Genomic DNA, 18,178 nt, shown 5'->3' with positions numbered 1-18,178 from the left:
CAGCGACTGTACCTGCCACAAGGAGAAACTAAGAAGAGAAACCTGACATGGGGGAGGACAAAAAAGCAGGTGCCCAGGTCCCTGACACCAGGGAGTGCCACACAAGCCCCAGTTTGATTTATCTCTCAACACTTAGAACATGAAACAGAAATAAACCTCTATTCTATTTAGGCCACTGTTAGAGGTTTTCTGTTACAGCTAAACCCAATTCCAACAAATATATAACTTCCCCCACATCTTTTAGAAGAGAAATCCAAAGTTACAAGCCCCAAACTTACTGCATATGGCTCAGGTTCTAAACCTGTTTTGTGCTTTTTCAAAATAACTACTACGCTCCCAGTTAACATTCACTCATTACTTCAATATTCTTTAACAATCAGTTAAAAAGCCTATTAAAAACACAAAAGGATACTACAAGGCTATAGGAATTAAGACAGTGTGGTACTGGCACAGGATAGATAATAGATCAATGAGACAGAATTGAAAGTCCAGAAATAAACCCTTACATTAATGGTCAATTGATTTTTTTAAGGGCTGCTAAGAACATACAACGGGAAAAGAACAGTCTTTACAACAAATTGTGTTAGGAAAACTGGATATCCACATGCCCAAGAATGAAGGTAGATCCATACCTAACAGTACATAAAAAACTAACTCAAAGTGGATCACAGACCTAAATGTAAGCACTAAAACTATAAAATCTGAGGAAAAAACATGGGAATAACTCTTCATGACCCAGGGTTGGAAAGAATTTCTTGGATAAGATTAAATGCATAAGCAAAAAAGAAAAAGATAGCTAAACTATACTTCATGAAAATATAAGCCTTCTGTACTGCAAATGAGAACATCAAGAAAGTGAAAACACAACCTACAAAATGAGAGGAAACATCTGCAAGTTATATATCAGATAAGGAACTTATATCCAGAATATACAAAGAACTCTTACAATTATAAAAAACCCAGTCAGGTGCAATGGTTCACGTATATAATTCTAGCACTTTGGGAGACTCGGGTGGGAGAATCTTGAAGCCAGGAGTTCAAAACCAGCCTACGTAACACCAGCAAGACCCTGTCTCTACAAAAAAAATTTTTAAATTAAAAAAAAAAAAGATAACCCAATTTAAAAATGAGTAAAGAAGATGAATAGCTATTTCTAAAAAAAAATACACACACACACACACACACACACACACACACACACACACACACACACAGGCCAGGCCAGGCACAGTGGCTCACGCCTGTAATCCCAACACTTTGGGAGGCCAAGGTGGGAGGATCGCTTGAACCCAGGTCTTCAAGACTAGCCTGGACAACATAGTGAGATCCCATCTCTACAAAAATAAAAAATTAGCCAGGCACAGTGGTGCACACCTGTAGTCCCAGCAACTTGAGAGGCTGTGGTGGGAGGGCTGCTTGAACCAGAGAAGTTGAGTCTGCAGTGAGCCATAATGGTGCCACTGCACTCCAGCCTGTGTGACAGAGCAAGACCCTGTCTCAATAACAACAACAACAAAGATATAAAAATAACCAATAAGCACATGAAATGTCATTAGCTATTAGGGAAATGCAAATCAAAAACACAAGATATCACTTCACAACTAGGATCTGTTTGATTACAAGATGGCTATAATCAAAAAGACAGAAAACAAGTGTTGGTGAGGATGTAAAGAATTAGAACCCTTCCACATTCCTAATAAAAACGTACAATGTGCTAGGCACGGTGGCTGATGCCTGTAATCCCAGCGTTTTGGGAGGCTGAGGCAGAAGGATCACTTGAGGTCAGGAGTTCAAGACCAGCCTGGGCGACACAGTGAGACCCCCATCTCTACAAAAAATTAGAAAATTAATTGGGCCTGGTAGTGCATGCCTGTAGTACCAGCTACTCGGGAGGCCAAGTTGGGAGGATCACTTGAGCCCAAGAGGTCAAGGCTTCGGTGAGCCATGACTGCACCACTGCACTCCAGCCTGGGCAACAGAGCAAGACCATGTCTCAAAAATAAACAAATAAAATGGTGCAGCGACTTTGGAAAACAGTCTGGCAGTTCCTCATAAAGTTAAACATAGTCACCATAGGACCCAGTAATTCCATTCCTAGGTATCTATGCAAGAGTAAGGAAAAAAACATGTCCACACAAACATCTGTTCAAAGCAGCATTATTCCTAACAGTCAAAAGGTAGAAACAACTCAAGTGTCTATCAGCTGATAAGTGGATAAACAAAACATGGTATATTCATACAATGGAATATTATGCAATGACAAAAAGGAATAAAGTACTGATAAAAGCTACAACATGGATGAACCTTGACGATATAATGCAAAGTGAAAAAAGCCAGTCACAAAACATCATATATTATATGATTTCATTTACATATATGTGCAGAATAGGGAACTCTATAGAGACACAAAGTAGATTAATGGGTGCCTAAAAACTTGGCAGGTTTGAGGGGAATGGGGAATAACTGCTAATGGGTATGGGTTTTCTTTCTGGATGATGAAATTATTCTAAAATTGGGCCGGGCGCGGTGGCTCACGCCTGTAATCCCAGCACTTTGGGAGGCCGAGGCGGGCGGATCACGAGGTCAGGAGATCGAGACCATCCCAGCTAAAACGGTGAAACCCCGTCTCTACTAAAAATACAAAAAATTAGCCGGGCGTAGTGGCGGGCGCCTGTAGTCCCAGCTACTTGGGAGGCTGAGGCAGGAGAATGGCGTGAACCCGGGAGGCGGAGCTTGCAGTGAGCCGAGATCCCGCCACTGCACTCCAGCCTGGGCGACAGAGCGAGACTCCGTCTCAAAAAAAAAAAAAAAAAAAGAAATTATTCTAAAATTGACTGTGGTGATGGTTATACAACTCGGTAAATACAGTAAAAATGGGTGAATTCTGTAAGAATGGTATCTCAATAAAACTGTTTAAAAACCATGAAAGGAGTTCCATTAAATGTCCCTTATATTGTCCTATAATGTAATTTTTTCCCAAAATTAAAAAAAAAACTATTTTTTTTAATTTCAAGTGTGAATATTCACACTTGCAAACTTCTTCAAACAGCACCACTGAAAAAAGTGGGGGGTCAGGTGCAGTGGTTCATGCCTGTAATCCCCAGCACTCTGAGAGGCCAAGGCGGGCAGATCACTTGAACCCAGGAATTCGAGACCAGCCTGGGGCAATATGGCGAAACCCTGTCTCTACTAAAAGTAAAAAAACTGTCTGGGCACAGTGGCCGTGATCATGCCACTGCACTCCAGCCTGGGTAATGGGAGTGAGACCCTGTCTGAAAAAAAAAAAAAGTGGGGGACAGGTTATTCCTATCTGTCACAGAAGTGGAGACATCTGAAAGGCTGAGGCATGGATAAAGTGACAGAACCAGGAAAGCATGCTCTGTATTTTAATGAAAGGGCTGGATAAGTGCTGCACATGCACGAGCAATACTAAGCCATGTAACACTGACAGAGCCTCTATCAGAAGCATCTCCATCACTTCAGGGCCACCAGGAGAAGATGGCTAGTGGGATTCTTACAATACCTATAGCCATTATTGCCCCCTGTTATTAACAGGTCTATACAGTTTAAGTGGATTCCTGTCTGTATTCTGGACTGTTTAGGTCCCTCCATATTTCCTCTGTGAGTGGTTAGGTTTTCTCTTTCCCAGTCTGTCCGAACAGGCTTATCTGACACTTTATCTGGCCTTGAACACCCTGAAACACATTCCTTACTTGTGTTCAGAATCCAAGGAAATAAATGCAAGATCACATTATTGTTTTTAAAGCTTCTGATATGCTAGATATTTTACTTATTTACTTGAGAAACCCTATGTTCAGACCTCCTCAAAGCCTTGAGCTGGCTAATAACTAGTGTGCCATAATTTTGTAAACTTTCACGAAACAATATAAAATGAGAAGAAAAAGAGTGATAATAAAAAACAAAGTCTATAGGATTTTTAGTCACACACACACACACACTCTCTCTCTCTCTCTCTCTCTCTCTCTCTGTCTCTCACAGGATTTACAAAAAACAGAGGGGCTTTACTCTCTGAAGAGAGTACAAAAAAGATTTCTAAACCAGAGAATACCAGGAAGAGTTAAGAGCAAAATTATCACTATGAAAATAGAGAAATGAAGCAGAAGTTTTTAATTTTAGATTGGAGACATCCAGCCTTTTTCCCCAACTAGGTTCCCAGAGACTGGCCAACTTTATACCCTGTAGATAGGAGACTGGAAATTACTTCTCTGAGGAATATGACTAACCTAAGCAAAAACAACTAACACTGACCCAAAAGAACTAACACTGACATCAAGAACTCTCCCAGTGAAACATCCCAGCCAGATCAGCCTCCAGGGAAGCCAGGAGTCAAGGAGCCCTACCCACACCTAAGGAGCTTCCAATCAGCTTGTGATTGCCCCCCACCCACTTCTAGACACAGGCAAAGAGCACCGGACATTTGAGGAAATACCCATAAGGAAAGACAGAAAGGAAACAAAACAAAAAACTTAGAAACTATGCAAGGAAAAGAAAACTTATAAAAACAAAACCATCATTAACAGCCTCAGAGAAATAAGATACTCATGAAATAAGAGATGGTAAAAAAAAAAAATACTGAACAAAATTTTAAAAAGCTCTTAAACATTACATATATGATAGTAAATTAAAAACTGAATAAAGATAAAATTGAGAAAACCTCCTACAAATAAATCAAAATCAGTAAGATAGAAAACTGCAGAGGAATTAATAGAAAACCTGGAGGTTCATAAAGAGATCAATGAAAGGGAGAAAAACAATTTTAATTCAAAATAATTTTACAAAATTGAAGGCCATGAGTCTCTGGAATGAAAAGATCCACAGTGGTTGAAAAAGACCTTCACCAAGAAACATGCATCATAAATCATGTAAGATAATGTAAGCTTCAAGAAAAGAAAAAACGAGGTTTACTTTTAACAAACTCAACAGTATAGGAGGTCTCAAGAGCAACAGTGGAAGCCAGAAGACCTTGCAGTGCTACCTTCAACACTGTGAACAAAAACCACTGCAATCTGGGATTCTATACCCAGTTATACTATCAACCAAGAGGGTAGATTAGTAATTAACAGATATGCAAGATCTTGAAAAATTCTACCTCTGGAAACAACCTAAGGGTCCACCAGTGGAGAAATGAATTTAAAAATATGTGATACATAAACACAATAAAATACTATTCAGCCTTAAAAAAGAAATCCTGTCATTTGTGACAACATGGATGAAACTGAAGGACATTACATCAAGTAAGCCAGATACAGAAAGACAAATTCCCCATGATTTTACTTATTTGTGGGATCTAAAAAAGTCAAACTCACAGAAAAAGAGTAAAATGGTGGTTACTAGAGGCTGAGGGGTGAGGGAACCAGGGAGATATCTGTCAAAGGACACAAAATTTCAGTAAGACAGGAGAAATAAGTTCAAGATATTATACATTACAGTGATTATAGTGAATAACAGTACACTGTACATTTGAACATTGCTAAGGGTAGATTTTAAGTGTTCTTACCACAAAAAAATGATAAATATGTGAAGTAATGCCCATGTTAACCAGCTTGACTTAGCCATTCCATAAGGTATACATATATCAAAACATCATACTGTACACCATAAATAGATACAATTTTTCCTTATCAATGAAAAAAAACTAAAAAAAAAAAAATTCTACCTCCTATGAACCCTTTCTCTGAAAGCTACTGAATGATATTCTTCATTGAACAAGGGAGTAAACCAAGAAAGCCAAAGACATGGGAGCCTGGAAAGAGGGGATCCAAGGGACTCTCTAGGGTGACAGTGAAGGGAAATCAAAAGAACAAGCTATAAACAAGCCCTGAAGAATAATGAGTCCAGGCAAGAACATTCGGAAGTTCTAAGAAAGATTTCTTCAAAAAGATGAGACTATCTAAAGTCAGCACAGGTTAGAGAAAACAGACACAGCCAGCGTAGTCTAGAGTTGAATTACTGCTTAGTCAAAAAACTTAGCAACTGAATAAAACAAGTATTAGCTCCAAGAAAAACAAAATACTATACCACAAAGTACAATGGTATGCTATGGATTACAAACTATATGTACGAATATTACATATTTGTATAACTTACACAAATTATAAGGTAATTCATGGTTTAGCAATGAATAGGATTTACAGAGTCATAAGATAAACCAAGAATATAAAGCTAACCAAATTATAACAGACAATAGGGGAATAGAAAATGTATGCATGACGGACACAGAGGGTGTGAAAGCCAAATGTCAAATTCTACGTAGAAAAACAACAGATAATGCCTAAAACTGAAAATGGTCAATGAGTAACAAAGATCTTTTAGCGGTAAGTAAAACAAAGAGTTGTAACAGGCACCTCTACGGATGAGGGGCACAAGTGTTTTTCTTGCTAAGCCTTACACAACTGTTTGCCGCGAATCAAAGCCTTAAAATTATATTCCTGACTATTAGAGATGAGGAAATGAGATGTAAGTGTACCAAAAGACCCAACTATGTTTTGTAGGTTTGGATATTCTCTGGTATACAGACACCCTGGGAACACACAAAGCTGTGTCTACCCCACGTGTTAGAGAGAGGGAAGAAAGTAGAACTGCGGGCACACTATGTGAAGCTAAGTACAGAAATGCAAGGAAGTATTTCTTTCTTTCTAGGATTGGCAGGCAATGTGAAATTTTACAAAACTATGCTTTACTGACAGGTACAAAAGACTAATGAAGGTAGAAGGGCTGGCTTCAAAAAATTACGAATTTTAATAAATGTGAAAATAAAACTACCTGATTGCTGAATCTATTTAGCTTCTCTACTACAGAAATATTGCAAGATCTATGCATTCAGGACTCAGTTTCAAACCATTTACACTAAAAGAAACACAACCAAACCGCTTAGTTCTCCTGCATGATACTTCTAAGGACAATAAACAAAGTAAAAGCCTCATTCTACTACGTGACACGTTACCTGCAGAATTCTGTCCTGGGAAGCTGGTGTTCGTGGTGTTCTAAGAGCAACGCTGTTGTTGGTGACATTGTACTCAGACAAAAGTGTACTGGAAGCAGAATTTGTTATGCCAGATTCCTCGGCAGTTTGACGTGCAATTTCACTCGCTTGGCCTACTTTTACAACTTCCTGGAGTTCTGCATCTGAAATCTAAAAGGACACAATTATCATAGTAAGCAACATTTTAACTGAGGCCGGGCACAGTGGCTCACACTTGTAATCCCAACACTCTGGGAGGCCGAGGAGGGCAAACTGTTTGAGCCCAGGAGTTCGGGACCTACCTGGGCAACACAGCAAAACTGTCTCTATTGAAAAAAAAAAAAAAACCAACATTTTAACTGAGAGCTGACACAGCTTTAAATTTCCATATTCCAGAAAAATGAATTGCTGAAGCTGTGTGATTAATATCACAAGTTCACAGTAGTACTCATCTTTTTTGTGGCTTTGAAAGTTTCCATAATATAGCTTTAGAAAGCCTTCCCTACAGAATGTGAGGGGAAAATTCACATATGATATAGAATCAAGCTACAAAGGCTGTATCTCTATACTGAAATTCTTTCAAATCAACATATTAACGTACCAAGAATGTAAAATAGCAGTATTTATACAAAATTGGAGGAGGAAGACTGAAAACCAATTAAAATATCACACAGAAAGGGTCCAGCGAGCCACAAGATCCCTAAGAAAATCTAAAGGTGTTGTGTTAGTAATTTTACCAAAATAAATATCCTAAGGTGTACTAAGAAAAAAATTAAAGACAAAATTTCAGTTTAATAAATATCCCCACTAGGAATGTCAGGATATGACAAAACTCGTTTATGCCCAAGAATCTTGTGTTGATGCAGCCAATGTGCTCATGTGGGAAAAGAGTTCTTCTGGTCTCCTAAGTCCTTTCTTCTGCACCATTAAATCTGTCCAATTCTACAAAGCTGTACTACTCAAAACAGACAAAAAAAAGGGTTAGCTGGGCACGGTGGCTCATGCCTATAATCCCAGCACTTTGGGAGGCCGAGGTGGGTAGATGGTAGCTCACGAAGTCAAGAAATCAAGACCATCCTGGCCAACATGGTGAAACCCTGTCTCTAGTAAATATACAAAAATTAGCGGGGCATGGTGGCGCACGCCTACAGTTCCAGCTATTTGGAAGGCTGAGGCAGGAGAATCGCTTGAACGCGGAAGGCGGAGGTTGCAGTGAGCCTAGATGGCACCACGGTACTCCAGCCTGGCGACAGAGCAAGACTCCGTCTCAAAAAAAAAAAAAAAGGTTACCCTAAGGTCCCATGTTTCTGACCAACTATAGTAAGTCAAAAGAATACAGCCTGTAATAAGCTGAATGAAAGAATGTTTGTATCGCTTTTCTCCACAACTCCCACATTGACTTTCACAACTGTTGTCTCAAAAAAGAAAAGCATAACACAACAAAACATTCCCTGGGAGAAGGCAGCTTAAAGTCCACAAAGCCAAACCACACCTTTACCCTCATCAGCTACAAAAAGAAGCCTAAAGCCCTACCCTGTTGACAAAATGTTAAGAGCTGATAATTACTTACCAAACCATCATATGAGCAGTTTAAGATCTGATACAATAATTTATACAGAGAAGCTGAAGCTATCTTATCATACTATATCACAATTACTTGTGGGGTTTTTTTTGTTTTTTTTTGTTATTGTTGTTGTTTTTTGAGACAGAGTCTCACTCTGTCACCCAAGCTGGAGTGCAATGGCACCATCTTGGCTCACTGCAACCTCCACCTCCCGGGTTCCAGTGATTCTCCTGCCTCAGCCTCCCAAGTAGCTGCGATTACAGGTGTGTGCCACCATCCCGCCTAATTTTTGTATTTTCAGTAGAGACAGGGTTTCACCATGCTGGGCAGGAACTCCTTCTGTCTTGAACTCCTGACCTCAGGTGATCCGCCCGTCCTGGTCTCCCAAAGTGCTGAAATAACAGGTGTGGGCCACCACAGCCAGCCCACAATTACTTGTTTTTATGTGTGTCTCACCCATTAAACTGTGAATTTCTTAAGAGCATCCAGCACAAACCTGGTACACAGGCCTTCAAACATTTGCTGAATAAATGATATAAGCATATAAATTCACATAGTGAAAAATTTGCTTTTATCAGATTACCTGAGGGGCAGGAAGTACTAGTTTGCTTCTCTTTTTAGTAAATTCAGAAACACCACTAGTTTGAAGAATAGCTGATGGTAAATCAGATTCTTTTTTCCTTTTCAAATGCTGTTTGTCTTTTTTTCTATCTCTTCCTTCTTTTTCACTGTCATGGATCAAAGTAGAAAAGAGATTTTTAAGTTACATATAGCCAAAAACATTAAAATCCATACAAATACTCAAACCCTTTGAACAAACAACCTCATTTCTAAGAAAATAACTGAAAAGGCCAGGTGCAATGGCTCACGCCTGTAATCCCAGCACTTTGGGAGGCCAAGGTGGGTGGATTACCTGAGGTCAGGAGTTCAAGACCAGCCTGGCCAACGTGGCGAAACCCCATCTCTACTAAAAATACAAAAATTAGCCAGGCATAGTGGTGCGTGCCTGTAATCCCAGCTACTCGGGAGGCTGAGGCAGGAGAATCATTAGAGCCCGGGAGACAGAGGTTGCAGTGAGCTGAGATCGCACCACTATACTCCAGCCTGGGCAATAGAGAAAGACTCCATCTCAAAAAAAAAAAGAAAATAGCTAAAAAAAGGTAAAAACAATATACATTAAGTAGTCCCCTACACCATTACTTACCATATTCAAGATAAAAGCAAACTCAGAATAGCAACAAAATTATCAATAAGGTACCCTAATTGAAGTACTAAATATTAAAACATGTAAGTATGAAGATTGTGATAAACAAAACATTCCACATAATGTCAAAAACTATTCCTATATTATGAATACATTCAATAAAAACGTGTGCACATAGGAAAAAGTATGACAAGTATGTAAAAAGGAAAATGTGTATGAAAGAAATAAAATTAAAACATAATTAAATTTCCCTTTAAAACTTGTTATTAAATTCTCATGATTCTTAAAATTCACAACTTTTTTAAAAAGGCTGTCTTAATACTGACAAGTGACATCTAAACATGGTTAGGAAGCCTAAAGACAGGCTCAAAGCAGTCTTTCAAAGCTCCAGGAATACCTCCTCCCCTTCTGTGTGTCTTTCTTGCCTCCCCCACTTAGTACTCCTTCCAAATGAATAGTTTTCCTGTTCAATCTCTTTATTTGTAGAGCCTACCTAAAGCAAAGTCCTAATCTGAGGAATAAATACAATGGAGTACATCTAAGAAAATCCTATTTTACAATGGCTGATAGCTGTTGTTTTGTAACAATTCATGTCAACAGAAATGAAAGGTCAACGGAGTAGAAAACTTTAAAAAACCCTTGACAACCATAAAATACTCTCCCTACAATATTCAGATATGAGATTTAAAGAAACTAAAAATCTCAAGAAATAGGGAAAATCTGCTATGCCCTAAAACATAAAGATTTTATAAATGTATATTTATCCCATCAAGTGAAAGGATCAGTAAGTTTTTTCTTTTAATTTCATCTTAATAAAAACAAGGTAAAATTTTTCACTAGAAAAGACTAAAAGGGCCAGGAGTGGTGACTCATGCCTGTAATCCCAACACTTTGTGAGGGACGCAAAGGGAGGGTAGCTTGAGCCTAGGAGTTCAAGGCCAGCATGGATAACATGGCAAGACCCACCTCTCTACAAAAAATAAAAAATTAGCCAGTCATGGTGGCACACATCTGTACTCCCAGCTACTTGAGAGGTTGAGGTGGAAGGACTGCTTGAGCCTGGGAGGTGGATACAGTGAGCTGTGATCATGCCACTGCACTCCAGCCTGGGTGATAAGAGTGAGACCTTGTCTTAAAAAAAAAAATTGTTTTTTAAGGCTAAAAATACCAGACTCAATTTTGACAGATTCCTCAGCCACTAGTAAAACTAATCTACTCATAAATGTACATAAAAGTTAAGATGTGATTCAAAGAGTAAACAGTCAATTGAGAGCCATGCATTTCAACTCAAGAGCCATAAACAGCATTCTGTGCTAAAAACGTGATAGCCACAGTCCCTGATTTTCTCAGAAAGATGAATCCATTAAATAAATAAAACCATATGTAGGCCACATTGTACTAATAAAAATCTAGGCCAGGCACAGTAACTGATGCCTATAATCCCAACACTTTAAGAAGGATCGCTTGAGCCCAGGAGTTTGAGACCAGTCTGCACAACAAAAGGAGATCCCACCCTACAAAACAATAAAAAAAAATTAGCTAGGTGTGGTGGTGTGCACCTGAAGGCCTAGCTACTCAGGAGGCTGAGGTGGGAGGATTGCTTGAGCCCAGGAGGTCAAGGCTTCAGTAAGCCGTGTTTGTGCCACTGTACTCCAGCCTGGGCAACACAGCAAGACCCTGTCTCAAAAAAAAAATTGATTTTAAAAAATGTAAAATAAATAAATAATAAAAATCTGGCTCTGACAAGGATAATACTTGGCCCTTCGTAAGACTCCTCCTACTATTCCTTTCCATTTCCAAAATCAGAAAGGCAACTTACGATCTTAGCTCCCCATCAAGATCCTGTTGTCTTAATTTCCTGAAATCTGCGTCAAGAGCTTGGTAGTTTTCCTCAGAAGTATCATAAAAACCAAGGGCAGGCTTTTTTTCAAATGGGATTTCGGCATTATAATCAACTCCTCTCTTCCTTTTTCTTTTCTTCTGAATTTCTATGCCAGCTGCTCGAAGTTCTCTTCTTTTTTGGAGGGCAGCAAGACGTCTGAAAAGAATGCAAAATCACTTTGAAAATCATATGCCATGTGACAGGGATAAATTATCCCATACAGTTAAAAAAAAAGTATCTATTTATTTGGGGAAGAAATAGTTATTTAAATCCTTACCTCACACCATTCACCAAAACAAATCCTAGTTTTAATTTAAAGGTGCACACACACATACACATAATAAGGCAAAAAGAAAAACCAAAAGGAACTACAAGTAAATACATATCTTATCTCTGGATGGAAATGTACTTACTAAATATAAATTAAATAAATGGCAAATGAAAAAAATCAACAGCTTTTTTTTCCTTTTAATCCACTCATCTATACATTGAATAGCTTTGAGATATAAAACTTCTAACTGTAACACTATGAAAATTTATAAATGAAATTAAAAGGCAAATAGTAGGAAAAAATATTTGCAACTAGTATGATGGTTAAATATAAACAGTCTAAGCAAAGTTTTTTTTTTTTTTTAATGCACTCAAAGGGTGTAAAAAGAGCAAAAGGAAACAATTCACAAAGCAAAAAATGCAGGTAACTAAAATGACAAAAGTTTTATTTAACAATTAAAGAATCACAAATTAAATTAACAAGTACCATTTGTGCATATCTAATTAACACCATTCAGTTTTTTGTTTTGTTTTAACGGCAAGGCTGCAAAAAATGGACAGTCTGCTGCACTGGTAATGAAAAAGTATATTGGTGCATCTCTTCCCAAAGAGAAGTTAGAAATACACATTCATAGTCTAAAGATTTTCATATTTTTTGAGCAGCAATTTCACTCCTTAGCCTTTAGCCTGAGGAAATAAGTTACACCATGAACAAGGACTTAATTACAAAGCTGTTCACTAAGCACTGTTTATGATAGTAGATAGCTGGATACAATCTAAACAACTATCAGTAAGAAATTAAATGAATTTATAAGATATTATACAGACATTTACATAAACTTTTAAAAGGCTATAAATCTACTCTGATATGGAAAGAGGCCCAAGACATACCACTGTGTAAAAAATGTTAGAAAGTTTACATGTTACAGGGCAACACATAAGAACTGTATGCATATCTATCAATGAATATGTGCCTGAGGAGATATGAAGGATGTCCATCAAAATATTAATAACGATAGTCATTGGAGGGTGGAATTCCATTTAATTTTTACTTTTTTTCTTTGCATCTTCCTATGTTGCTATAACTGTAATGATTTCGTGATAAGAAAAGCTATTCACAATATGAAAGATGGAAAACAAGTTACAAAACAGTATCTATGAGTAACTTCCAGCATGACAGCATGAGGAACTCCATAAACTCACTACCCAGGGAGAATGGTGAAAATTACATATATTTTAAAAACAACCAATTAAAGTCTCTGAAGAGGATCTGAAGCAGATACAGCAAATATATAAACATTAAATCAAGAAAATCTACTTTAACTCGGTAAGAAACACAAGAATATAATATTTAAATCATTAAAAAGTCAGGAAACAACAGGTGCTGGAGAGGATGTGGAGAAATAGGAACACTTTTACACTGTTGGTGGGACTGTAAACTAGTTCAACCATTGTGGAAGTCAGTGTGGCGATTCCTCAGGGATCTAGAACTAGAAATACCATTTGACCCAGCCATCCCATTACTGGGTATATACCCAAAGGACTATAAATCATGCTGCTATAAAGACACATGCACACGTATGTTTACTGCGGCACTATTCACAATAGCAAAGACTTGGAACCAACCCAAATGTCCAACAATGATAGACTGGATTAAGAAAATGTGGCACATATACACCATGGAATACTATGCAGCCATAAAAAATGATGAGTTCATGTCCTTTGTAGGGACATGGATGAAATTGGAAATCATCATTCTCAGTAAACTATCGCAAGAACAAAAAACCAAACACCGCATATTCTCACTCATAGGTGGGAACTGAACAATGAGAACACATGGACACAGGAAGGGGAACATCACGCTCTGGGGACTGTTGTGGGGTGGGGGGAGAGGGGAGGGATAGCTTTAGGAGATATACCTAATGCTAAATGATGAGTTAATGGGTGCAGCACACCAGCATGGCACATGTATACATATGTAACTAACCTGCACATTGTGCACATGTACCCTAAAACTTAAAGTATAATAATAATAAAATTAAATTAAATTTAAAAAAGAGAAAAATATATATATTTAAACCAAGACCCACTCCCTCCTTCCCCCCAGCTCAGAGGAATGGAGATTCCACTCCACACAAGTGCAGCCAAGAACCCAGGACTCCTTCTCCCCTCCAGCTCCCAGTAGTAGGGCTTTCATTCCAGGAGGATTAGGACATCAGTATTTCTGGTGGCAAAGTTCCATCAAGAGTGGCTGAAAAGTGGGCTTCCTTCCTCCATCCAAACAGAAGTCCTAGCTTTGGACACAGTGCTGCTGAGAATACTGGAGCCCTGATAGCCTTTGCCCTGGCTTATGAGATGAGGGCTCCACGCTGCGGGCGGACGGACGGGGAGGGCAAGCCAAGGAAACCTTGGGCTGCTGTCCATCCCCTACTTCCCACCAAACACTCAGCTAATAAAGTAGGGCTGTCACTTGGAGACATGTCCTGTCAGAGCCCTGGGGAAGAAGCAGGACACAGAACTGAGAGATCCACATCTCTCCTCAAACAAAAGGACTTCATTGCAACAGAGTATAGAGAAGTTCTAGCCTAAGGGTACTATCAAAAACAGTGGAAGTTCTGGTAAAAGGCAAGTTGGGAAAAAGCTTGACAGACTTAATGGAGATACCAAATCTGTAGGCCTACTAGTTTGCCAGAGAGAAACAGGGAATAAGAGCTGGGAGGAGCCCTTCTGGGGTGAGAATAAATCTCAAACACTGATATCAGGAAGCATCCCTTCAAAGGAGCCCAAATTTGACTGGATCACTTTGTAGTGCAACTTATGCCCCAGGACATTGTTGAAAACAACACAGTAAACAGCTGGCAATCAGTGAAACTTAACAGGGAAAGGAATGTCAAAGAGAGCGCTGCCCAAACCATGCTATCCCAGGGTGACTGTGAGCATACCCTGTGAGGAGCAACATCAGATGCTTCACATTTCTCACAGGAGGTAAGGGAAGAATAGACTGACTAAAATTGGCCAGACACGCTGGCTCATGTCTGTAATCCCAGGACTTTGGGAGGCCAAGGCAGGTGGATCATCTGAGGTCACAAGACCAGCCTGGCCAACATGGGGAAACCCTGTCTTTATTAAAAATACAAAAATTAGCCAGGCACGGTAGACAGTGCCTGTAATCCCAGCTACTCTGGAGGCTGAAGCAAGAGAACTACTTGAACCCAGGAGGTAGAAGTTGCAGTGAGCCGAGATCATGCCACTGCACTCCAGCCTGGGTGACAGAGCGAGACTCCGTCTCAAAAACATAAAATAAAATAAACCAGTCATCAAACAAGTAAACAAGCAAATAATAAATGAAGGCTGGGGGAGTACCCAAAATTGCTACAGTATATCATCTAAAATGTCTAGTTTCCAACAAAAAATTATAAGACATGCAAAGAAACAGGAAAGAATGACCCATATGCTAGAAAAAATGCAAGCAACGGAAACTGCCTGAGAGTGCAACCAGATGTCAGATTAACAAACTTGAAAGTAGCCATTATGTTCCAAGAACAAAAGGAAACCAAGAAGTAAAGGAAGGTATGATAACAACGTTGCATCAAACAGAGAATATCAGTAAAGAGACAGAAATGCTTAAAAAGAACCAAATGGAAATTCTCAAATTCAAAAGCACAAAGCTTATCAGCTAACTTAGAAAAGGAATGGAATAACAAAAATGAAAAAAAATATTTATTTAATTAAAAAAAAATAAAGTAGCCAGGTGTGGTGGCTCACACTGTAATCCCAGCACTTTGGAAGGCCGAGGCAGGCAGATCACGAGGTCAAGAGATCAAGACCATCCTGGCCAACATGGTGAAACCGTCTCTACTAAAAATACAAAAAATTAGCCGGGTGTGGTGGCGGGCACCTGTAGTCCCAGCTACTCAGGAGGCTGAGGCAGGAAAATGGCGTGAACCCGGGAGGTGGAGCTTGCAGTGAGCCTAGATCGCACCACTGCACTCCAGCCTGGCAACAGAGCAAGACCCCGTCTCAAAAAACAAAACAAAACAAAGTACAAAGCTGAAATGTAAACTTCACTAGAGAGGCTCAACAGTAGATGTTAACTGGCAGAAGAATTAACAAACTTTAAAACAGAGCAGTAACAATTATGCAATCTAAACAGAGAAAAAGAATGAAGAACATGAATAGAGCCTCAGAGAAATATGTGGCACTATTAAATACACCAACATAAGCAGAACAGGGGTACCAAAAGGAGAGAAGTGAAAGGAGCAGAATTAAATATTTGAAGATATATAATGGCTGAAATTTTGAAAAATTTATTGAAAAACATTAATCTACACATCCAGTAAGCTCAATGAACTCCAAGTAAGATAAACAAAAAGAAATCTACAGACACATCATATTAAAAATGTTGAAAGCCAAAGACGAGAAGATTTAAAACCAGTAAGACAGGCCAGTCACAGTGGCTCACACCTGCAATCCCAGCACTTTGGGAGGCCAAGAAAGGAGGATAGCTTGAGGTCAGGAGTTCAAGACCAGCCTGGGCAACATAGCGAGACTCCGTCTCAACAAAAAAAATTTTAATTAGGTGGGAATGGTGGTGTGCATCTGTAGATCCAGCTACTCAGGGGGCTAAGGCAGAGGACTGCTTGAGCCCAGGTGTGCAGGGCTGCAGTGAACTCTGCACTAAAGCCTAGGCAACAGAGAAAGACCCTCTCTTAAAAAAAATTAAAATTAACATTAAAAGCAGTATGACAAAAATGATTCAACACTTACAAGGAAATCTCAGTAAGATTTACAGCTGACTTCTCATTAAAACCGTACAGTATGATCCAACTTTGTATAAACGTTAGTGTACATATATACACATAAATGCACATCTATGTTGAGAGAGAGAAAAGTTTAGAAAAATGTATTTCAAATTTTAAAGTAATTTCATTCTTTAAATAATGGAAATAAGGACTTCAATCCACATTAGAAAACCTTTACACAATAATGCTAAATGAATATAACCAAGCCATATAGCATTATATTACCTATGTCCCAAAATGAGAACATTAACAATACTAGAAGGAAAAATGTGTTACTTTTATAATCAATAAAAAACTGCTTTAAGTTACAAGGTAGATTTGTAATTTAACATTTAAAAGCAAATAGCCCTGCCCTGCACTTTGCATAGAGGCCATTCCAGCCTGTTAGAATATAACTTACAAAGATGTGTAGATTCTACAAGAATGCCTACAAGAAATTACAGGGTAAATTAAAATCTGCAAATTTTATTTAAAGCAATCAATGCTAGCCACACTTGGAGATTTTTCACATATGCATTTGCTGTGTCCCTGGCCCAATCCACACGGTTAAAGGGCTCTAAAAATTTGGTCCCCTACAACCATGGATAAAAATGGAAAAGTGATTTTTTTTCAACCTTACTCACAGTACTTAACTCTGAAGAGTATACAGAATAGAGAGGTGGCCAAGAATGGTGGAAAAGTTAGTACCTCCTCTTGGTTTCTGTTTACTGTCCCCGGCAGCTAATACCCCCAAATAAGCTAACCATTCTAGGCTAGCAATTGGCCAGCTCTGCCAACATGCATCCTCAGACATTAAAAAACCCTCCATCCCAGGATCTGGCACTTCAAAGCCATTAATTACAACATAATGCTGGTCATCAGGTCAAGAAGAATCAGCAGGCCAACCTGGGGGCCACAAGGGGCACTGTACAGGATAGGGAGGTTATTCTAGGGCCTGAATCCCAGAAGCTAATAAGCTGTGACACAGTCCAGATTTGCCCTTTAGTGACATCATCTTGGTTTCTGGGCTATTAGAACTGATATCAATCATGGACTTAACCAAAAGGAAAAAAGGGGAAAGTGAAGAAAATCCTGAGTGAAAGACAATGTGTAATATATATTCGTTTACTTTTTAAATAAAGATTTCTATGAGGGCCTAAAATTTGGTTCTAAGCTCATTAATTCCCTCTTTGTTCAGCCAAGTTTCCTGTTTCACAGCCAGTGCCTTCCCAATACCAATCAAGGAAAGTAACTAATTGGCAGTCATACAAAAGACACATAATCTTGTGTGTCCTACAGTCATCTGACTCCAAAATAGCTACAACAAATGAAGCTCTCATATGCCAACAGAACACACTCAACATACTGGATAAACTGGGCATTACCTCTGCCATAGCTTCAATTTTTTTTAAATATGGTTTTCTATAAATATTCTGAAATGGTTGGGGGAAAAAAATACAAGATAGTTTCAGAGAAATAAAGAAGGTAAAGAATA

The 18,178-nt window shown here is 38.8% G+C and overlaps 1 protein-coding gene across 2 annotated transcripts in view, besides 1 other annotated feature; it reads right to left on the bottom strand.

Annotated features, from left to right (window-relative positions):
• Positions 1-18,178, bottom strand: part of CDC5L (cell division cycle 5 like) — a 62,720-nt gene that overhangs the window by 34,829 nt on the left and 9,713 nt on the right. The window contains exons 1-4 of one of the 2 annotated variants that reach the window (XM_047419605.1): positions 16,670-16,788; positions 11,570-11,788; positions 9,130-9,274; positions 6,965-7,153 (exon numbers count right to left, since the gene is read on the bottom strand). In XM_047419605.1, coding sequence (XP_047275561.1) covers positions 6,965-7,153; positions 9,130-9,274; positions 11,570-11,788; positions 16,670-16,773 — 657 coding nt within the window. In that variant the 5' untranslated portion in view covers positions 16,774-16,788. Of the gene's footprint in view, positions 1-6,964; positions 7,154-9,129; positions 9,275-11,569; positions 11,789-16,669; positions 16,789-18,178 lie in introns of those variants that run through there. The other variant, NM_001253.4, reaches the window with a different exon arrangement.
• Positions 6-135: an enhancer, noted in NCBI's record as "active region_24639". NCBI's record gives its function as "activates an Ori minimal core promoter by ATAC-STARR-seq in GM12878 lymphoblastoid cells {active_cell/tissue: GM12878}" and the evidence as "EXISTENCE:reporter gene assay evidence [ECO:0000049][PMID:35858748]".

The sequence above is a fragment of the Homo sapiens genome, chromosome 6 (assembly GCF_000001405.40).
Source record: "Homo sapiens chromosome 6, GRCh38.p14 Primary Assembly".
Lineage (NCBI taxonomy): Eukaryota > Metazoa > Chordata > Mammalia > Primates > Hominidae > Homo > Homo sapiens.
Note: the sequence above shows the minus strand (reverse complement) of the source record. Positions and strands in the feature narration are given on the sequence as shown.